Source organism: Homo sapiens, chromosome 14 (genome assembly GCF_000001405.40).
Source record: "Homo sapiens chromosome 14, GRCh38.p14 Primary Assembly".
Classification (NCBI taxonomy): domain Eukaryota; kingdom Metazoa; phylum Chordata; class Mammalia; order Primates; family Hominidae; genus Homo; species Homo sapiens.
This window is the reverse complement of record NC_000014.9, coordinates 88,146,841-88,155,770: the sequence shown is the minus strand read 5'-3', so window position 1 is coordinate 88,155,770 and position 8,930 is coordinate 88,146,841.

Below are 8,930 nucleotides of genomic sequence, written 5' to 3'. Positions count from 1 at the left end.
TACATGTTCAACATAAAATGTGACTAGTATTAAAGGGGAGAAAAACAACAAAAAATCACCTGCAGTCACCTCCATCCAAAAATAACAATATATTGGGTTATATATAGCATCTCCCTCTCAAAAATCACATAAACACATACAGTATTTGTAGATATTGTTTCCATACTATTAGCACACTATGTAATAATTACAATACTGTGTAATGTTACTGCACTATGTGTAGACTGTTCTCTTGCTTGCTTTTGCATTTAGTGATGCATTACATGTTGTCACATTAATAAATGCCCTGTTCTATATGATGTTTTTTAAAAGATGGGGTCTCAGTGTATCTCCCAGGGTGGAGTGCAGTGTTGTAATCTTGAACTCCTGGGCTTAAGGGATCCCGCCTCAATCGCCGCGAGTAGCTGGGAATATAGGCGCATGCCACCACACCTGGCTAATTAAATTTTTCTTTTTTGGTAGAGACAGGGTCATGCTATGTTGCTCAGGCAGATCTCTAGATGATTTTTAACTAGATTTTAAACTACCTTATGTCGTTTGGATCTGCTAAAAAAAATGAGAATAACTGTAGGCATCGGTCTAATTAAAATAGGGAACAAGAACCAAAAAATCCCCTAGTTCCAGGAACACTGAAGTTCACTAAATACATTTCATTTCCACTGGGATATCACATGACTGAATGGCAATTGCGTTTCTTGTTTAGTATCTTGTGAATGCACATGTAAACCCTACTCTTAGTGTGGTCGTTGTGTGGTCTCTTATTATCACCTCCTGCTACTTCCATCCGTCTCATTTGAAAATGCTGTTGGGCTATGAACGTTTTCTTGTTCTAAGACTCTCAGGGGTCTTTACCTCCTGCTCTCTGTCTGCCTCTAGAAGTACCTAAAGAATACAGGTACAAAGACTAAACTATGTAAATTAGTATGGAATAGGGAGAGGAACCAGCAAAGAGAAGGAGAATTAGTTCCTATCTCAGTTGGTAAAGATGATTTACTATCTCTTATTCTCTGCATTCACTTTGGGTGGTTCTGAAAGCCTGGGACTGTATGACTGTAAGGTATGCCAGAGAGCCTTGCAGAAGCACAGCTGCTGTCATGAATCTCTGCTGCTGAACATTTGAACTTGGCCACTAACTTCTCACTGGAGAAACATCAAAGCACATGGCCCCGCCCCATGTGTCTACCCTGATTTTATGGTGCTTGCCTACATTGATCTTGCATCAAAATGGGCCCATTCATATCCCTGAAACTAGCTCCTCTGTCTACAGAAATCCTTGGCAGACCTTCTCCAGTAGTAGCCCCCATTTTCCCTTCCCCGTTGTAAATCGCAACCATCCTTATACAAGACTCAGTTCCTCCCTGTAGCCACACAGCCTTACAGGCTCTCTACTCAGGAAGCATACTGCCGCAGATGGGCCTCTCCCAGTTGGTATTCCTCATGTACTTTTGTCACTTGATTACATGTTTATGTGTGTACACTTGGTTATATGCCTTTGTGTACAGACACATCCCCACTTGAAGCAATAACTCTTTTCGTATACAAGTCAGATTTCCCATATATTGATGAAAGGGCTTAAGGATATATTTCTTTGCTTTCATTTCACAGAAGCCCAAAAGCCTTACAAATCACTTCGACAACAGAAAGATGAGCATGGGTTTTAAATCTCTTGTGTCAGCCATGGCTAGCCACCCATTGACTTAGGATCTCTGCATTTTCTTTCTTATCTTCTTAAAGAGATTTGTACCCTTTGCCCGAACTGTAGCTTCCAATCACAATGAAAATGTAACAACGGTGCATGCATGTGGATAGACGGAGAGGGATAACACACAAACACAGAAATAATGTGAGCTGATGAAGGAAAAGTTTAGATGACTCAGAAACGTGGGGCTGGATGCAAAATTCTCCTCCTTCCTGCTCCTGCCTCCTCTCTTTGGTTTTCATCTATGCTCAAGAGTGCTTTATGTCTACTTGAGTAATGTATACTGTTACCCATCTCTTAAACTGTATCCAGTGCCTCTGAGAACAATTTGTTAAGGGGAAGTTTGCTCATGGGAATTTCATAATCCAGGGAACATCTGTAGAGCTAAACTGTGAGACCCCAACAATGGGGCCATGCTACTGATTTTGTGTGTTCCCAGTAGCTGTCTAATGAAATGGATTGAGGCACCTGGACAATAGGGTAGTAGGGACTCTTGTTTGTAGCAAGCTGCTAGTGGCATAGGCATAGTTATTGCTAATGTCCTACCAGATGCAAACTTACATATGACCACACATTCCCATGAAGAGATTCTGCCCTCTCTGGGGATAGCGGGCTTGGGGGCAACTCACTGGGAGATTCTTGCCAATAGAGGCTTCATATAGGAGCAGAGATGTAGAGCCAAGACCCCTTAGCAACCTTGTTAAGTTGAGTCTTATGGTAGTGCTCACAGTGGCCGGGGTGGGAATAGCCCTTGGCAAGATGGGCAGATTGTTAAATATGGATGGATTGCTGGGAGCCTCCTTTCCCTGAAATGGGGCTAAAAGAATAAATGTTGAGAGTACAGAAAATTCACTATGGATAGTGGAGAAAGAGAGAAAGCCAGAGGCCCAGACAAGCCCTTTGGGTTTAGAGGGAAGAAAACTCTTTTCTGCCTTCCAAGTATTAATGACCTCAAACCTTCCTCCTTTTCTGTCAGCATCAGTATTCCACTTTTAAGAGAAATCAGTGGATATAAAGGACTTGGCATCTGCATTTAAGATTCTCCCTATCGCCCTTACCCAGGCCTCCTCTTGGCAGCCTTCTCAGGCAGGGCACCTGGATTCCCCTCTCTTTGCAAGTTTCCTCCCACCCCATTTCTTAGCAGGCAGCACTTTTTAATGAGAACCACTTCTGTGAATTTGAAATCACTCTCTGGCCTCTCAGCACACATACAGATAGATAATAAACTTGGAAATGGAGAGAGCTTCCTGTTTCTCTGGTTCACTTTTCTGACCTTAGAGATGTTCAGTGACTCCCTCATTTTTACACTTTATACTAGTATACTTGGGAGGCCAGGCAAAGCCTCTCTCCCTCCTGCCCAAGAACACTGAGACAAGAACTGCCTCATTGGATTTTTTGAACTCATGTTGGACTGAAGTGTACAAGTAGATGGGTAACATGCTGGTCTTGCCAATATGGGCATCATCTGAATTATTCAGATGTCAGTTTAACCACATCATCTGGAAGGCTCCCAATCAAAGCTTTAGTTTGAGGACAAATTGTATACCTACCCTCTAGCAACTCTTCCAGATTAAGAGGAGTCAGCAAAGTAGACTTTTCTTATTTTCTGAAGATCATAGTATCAGTGTCACAGAGCAAGGCCACTCCTGGCATTGGTTCTCCAGCTTTCCTGCTCTGAAGCATGAACTCGCAGGGGGCACACTGACTCTCACTTTTCTCTAGTTCATTCTTCACACTTCACACTTCTGCTAAGATGAGGAGAAGCAGTTCTAACTGCTCCCCACCATCTATGGCACCAAGTCTTTTCTCGTGGGCACAGTTGCTAGTTTGCCTAGTTGCTAGTTTGCCTTGTGGCCTTGCCTCTGCCTGGTGCCCCTGCCTCCTCCATTCCTGCTGCACTCCTTGGCTCCTGGTCTTCAGCTATATAAACGTCCTTATGTTCTCCAAATATGTACAGCTGTGTCACCTGCTGAAATTTTGTACTTGGCTTTCCCTTTGCCTGAAATGACCTGCCCAACTTTCTGGGCCTAGAAAACCCTCTTTTTTTTTTTTCCTTCATGAGTGAACTCAGAAGTTTCTCCCTCTGGGAAGCCTTTCCTAATTCTATCTTCTGCTACTTAATGAATGCATTTAGTACTGTCATTCTCATTCTTTGTTTACATTATGGTCTCCCCTAAAGGCCACTGCATGAGGACAGGAATCTTACCTGATTTATTTTTTATATTCTCAAGGCTGAAGGAAAAAGTAGGCAATATTTGTTGAAGGCTATGGCAACCAGAACAACATGGTACTGGTATAAAAATAGACAAATAAACCAGTGGATTGAACAGAGGACCCAGAAATAAAGCCCAATATGAATAACCAACTGATCTTTCACGAAGGCAACAAAAATGTACATTGGTGTAAGGACACTCTTTTCAATAAATGGCACCGGGAAAATTCAATTGGCATATGCAGAAGAATGAAACTGCACCCCATTGCTTACCATATGCAAAAATCAACTCAAGAGGGGTTCAAGACTTAAATGTAAGTCCTGAAACTATATATACATACATACATACATACATACACACACACACACACACACACACACACACCTTTTAGGTGTTTCCTCACCTAGGAAAAACTCTTCTGTACATTGGTCTAGGGAAAGAATTCATGATCTCAAAAGCATAGGAAACAGAAATAGACAAATGTGACTATATTACCTGAGAAAGGTTCTGCACAGCAAAGTAAATATCAACAGAGTGGACAGAAAACCTACAGAATGGGAGAAAATACGTGCAAATTATATATCCAACAGGTGACTAATATTCAGAATTTACAAGGAACTAAAAAAGTTCAACAACTACAAAGAACCCAAATAATCTCATTACAAAGTGGGCTAAGGACTTGAATAGACATTTTTCAAAAGAAGACAAACAAATGGCCAACAAGCATATAAAAATGCTCATCATCACTAATCATCAGAGAAATGCAAATTAAAACCACAATGAGATACCAACTTACATCAGACTGTCTATTATTAAAAAGACAAAAATGTAGGAGAGGATGTTGGAGAGAATGCAGAGAAAAGGAAACACTTATATGCCACTGGTGGGAATGTAAATTAGTACAACCTCTATGGGAAACAGTATCTAAAAGAACTAAAAATGGAACTACTCTTTGATTCAGCAATCCCACTACTGGGTGTCTACCCCCCAAAAAAGAAATCATTATAACAAAAAGATAACCTGCACTCATATGTTTATTGCAGCACTATTCACATTAGCAAAGGCATAAAATCAACCTAAGTGTCCATCAATGGATGATTGGATAAAGAAAATGTAAGATATATATATAATATATTAATACTATTCAACCATAAAAAGAATGAAATCATGTTTTTTGTAGCATAGATGGAACTAGATGCCATTGTCTTAAGTTAAACAACTCAGAAACAGGGACAAATACTGCATGTTCTCACTTATAAGTGAGAGCTTAAATAATGTGTACATATGTACATAGAGTGTTGAATGACAGACAATGGAGACTAGGAAGGGTTGGAGGTTGGAGAGGGTGGATGATGAGAAACTACTTAATGGGTACAATGTAGTCATTCCAGTGATGGATATACTAATAGCCCTATTTCACCCCTATGCAATACATCCATGTAACAAAATTTCCCTTGTATCCCATAAATGTATACAAATTTAAAAAATACTTACTGAATTGACCCATTAAGTTTCCTACCAAGAGTATTTCCTTTCTGTTTGGTTTTATGTTAATTTGTGCCATATTTGCCTAGGAATAACTGGGTCCAGGGTTTCTCATTATGTGACTGGTTGACTACACTAACAACTTTACTCTTCTACTTTTCACAAATTCTCAAATTTTCCAGAGCTTCACAGGGGTCTACAATTGTTGTGCTTCTCTGCACACCCAAAGGCCTACTGTCAAATGCTTGAATAAAGGAATTGGCGTTTCTGTTAACTTATTCTTCCCGGAGGAAGAGGCCGGCAAATCATCATGGTTGTATGAAGCCAGAGAGCGCTACTGCCATTAAAGCTAATTGGAAATTCATGTGCTATGGACAGCATTGTTAGTGAAGGATTGACTCTTGCACCTGCCATTTGCTAGAAGATAAGGTCATTTACTGATTGTGAGGGATTTGGAGCACTAAAGTCATCTCCTTACATCGGTATCCAAGGATAGAGTTGATTGCGGTATTTGGGGAATGAAAAGAAGAGACTAATGCTGATTTCTAATCTCTCTCTTTCTCTTCCAAAGTAGGAAATGACCCTTATGTCAAAGGATAAAAGGAAACAGTCTATTTAGCAGGAAAGAAGGAGGGGAGGTAGAGGGCGGGACTGTCACCTTTGTTAAGGAGCCACTCATTGCTTGACACTCAGCTAGGCACCTGACACATATAATTCAATTTTTATACAAACTTTGGCAAGAAGACTAATTATTTCAGTGTTACAGATGCAGAAACCGATGCTCAGAGAGGATAAGTAGACCCACCCAAGGTAAACACAGCTCAAGAAGTGGCAGCATCCTTGTCTGCCTGACACCAGAACAGTTTTTGGGGACACTCTCATATTGCTTCTGTGCCTTGACTACAGAAGTAAAACTGTCATGCTGGGTTTCAGGTTGGGCAAGCAAATGGGCATTTTGGAGAATTAGATTTTATTCAGAGCAATATTGGGTTTTCAGTCTTTCCTGACACTTATGATTATATCATTTTCAGCCCTGAATTCTGTGGAATCTACCTTGCCTAGATGAATCAGAATATTTAGAAATGACAGGCTTATGGAAGTACTTCAGAGAAGAGCTGGGGTAGGCTGGTAAAAAACATGTATCAAGACTTCAGACATAAAAGTTGCCCTGAATTGGTGACTTTTAGCCCCATCCAGTCTGTATAGTCATTAGACAGCCTGAATGTCAGATATTCAGGGGACAAAGCCTTAGAATGAAAAAGATAAATGGTTGTTTCAGTAATGTTCCCCTACATACTCTAAAAGAAAGTCAGCATTAGATACCAGATCAATCTTTTTTGTTTTCACCATTTAATAGGTCTGTGGGAAGACAGAAGTTTCAAGTCAATGAAAGTCTTTGTAATCAAATTGCATTGAACAGGAAAGTCATACAAAAGGTTACATTGAGGTCCTATGCTCTGAATATAGTTAGTAATAGGATAGTAGAATGAAAGAAGAAAGGGAAGAAAAGGGAGAAGAGAGAAATCTGAGAATATGTGGATTAGAAATGGTGCAAGGACAAGCACCTCAGAAGGCAAGGAAGGCATTAATATCCAAGGATGGAGTAGAATGTGATATTTTGGGGATGAAAAGAGTAATGCTGATTTCCAATCACTGTCTTTCCCAAATTAGGGAATGATCCTCATGTTGATTTAATGTTAGAAGAATGCACTAAAGAAAGAGGGCCCCTGACTAAGGTTGAGGATAAGGGATTAGATTGAAACAGCAGAAGCAACATGAGAATTGGATGAAAGGAGCAGGGAGAACCTTCACTGCACTTAGCAACTTTCATGTTTTAGTAACTCAGGCCCTGGATCTTCCTGTCTTCCAGATCAACAGTTCTCTCCTATAGTAACAAAATTGCCTGGCTGGAGCCCCCATTCTTGGACCCTGCAGAGATTGCATCTTCCCAAATGCATCCAAGGACTTCTTATGAGCCTTGAATTTCTCCAGTTCTTTCATTTATCCATTTTCCTGATCCTACTGAATTCCCTTTTTCAGTTTCCTGGCACCTTGTAGCTCTTTGTTTTTTGCTCTTGTCATCCCAGAGTGAAAAAGCTACTTCTGTTTCTGTAGCTGAAGGTTTTGGGTTAACAGAAGGGCTTTTGTCACTGCATAGAATAGAAAACAAAATTCATAAATTATTTCAGGCTATGGGGACTTAACTGGCACTCTCCCTAGGTGTCCTTCATTCCTGTTTTCCTTACTACTTGTCCACCTCATCCATTTCTTCTAAGATCCCTACTCCACCCACTACTCCCCAAACTGGTGGCATCTACAGACAGCTCCAAGATTCTGGTTGCTCCATTAAGCAAAGCAGTTTAGCTCTCTTTGGCTTCCACAAGAAACCACACTGTTATGGGATCTTTGGGGCATCAATTTTCTGGCCAGAAACCTCTGTCGCCAGTGGTGCGTTTGCCTGAGTTCTTGTCCTACATCCAGAAAGAATGAGGTATATAGATAAATGAAGAGTGACAAGTGAAGGGTGAACAAAATGAAGATGAGCTTTATAAAGTGTTAGAACAGCTCAGAGGAGGCCTAGAGTGGATAAGTCCTCTCTATAGGCTGGTTGTCCTGTGGAGTGTTCAGCTCTCAGCAGAGCAGAGGCCCTGGAGAGGGTAGCTCCTCTCTGCTCACTGGTCATCCTGATGTCTCTCCTGATCTCAGCAGAGAGGGTACCTCCTCTCTGCAGCTGGTCCTCCTCTGCAGTTGTCTCTCTGACTCAGGCCATCCTGTGCCCTACTCTGGCTGAGCCCTGGGCTTTTATGGACCTCAGAGGGGAAAAAGTGTCTGCTGATTGATCCATGGGCAGCCACGGGTGGGTCCAGAAGAGGTATTATGAGACCCCACTCTGGTCAGTGGGACTGGCAGCCCAGCCCCCAACCTCCTGGCCTGAAAGTGGGGCCTTACTGGAGACCAACCCTTTCCCACCGAGGAATCAATCTGCCTTCTGCTGGTATTAATGGCCCCAGGGCTCAGCCACAACCTCACTCCAGGATGGAAGCAGGTGCCAGGAGAGGAACGAGGCCAGACAATGGGAGCAGACAGCCCAGAGCCAACAGGGCCATCAGTGGGGAGGGCCTTCCCACCCCCAAGGAGGCAGACTACAGAGATGCTCAGGTCTCGTGCCTGGGAGGGCAGCTGCAGCTACACCCAGGGAGCTCCCACCCCACCAACTTGGAAGGGGCAGAGCTCCCGATTGTCCCTGGCTCCTGCCTGCTCCATGGAGTGGGAGGCCCAGGTCTGCAGCTGCTGGTTGGGCAGCTGAAGCTGCACCCCAGAGGGCAGATCCTGCCTGCTTCCGGTTCCCCACAAGAGCACAGGGAGGCTCGGACCCACAGCTGTAGTTTGGGCGGCTGCCCATAGACCAGGAGGCCTGGATCTGCAGCTGCAGCTTGGCCCATAGACCAGGAGGCCTGGGACTGCTGCAGTGGTGCCCAGGGAACTCCATGGAGTGTACAGGCTGAGTCGCAACTCCCTGCTGCAGCCAGCAT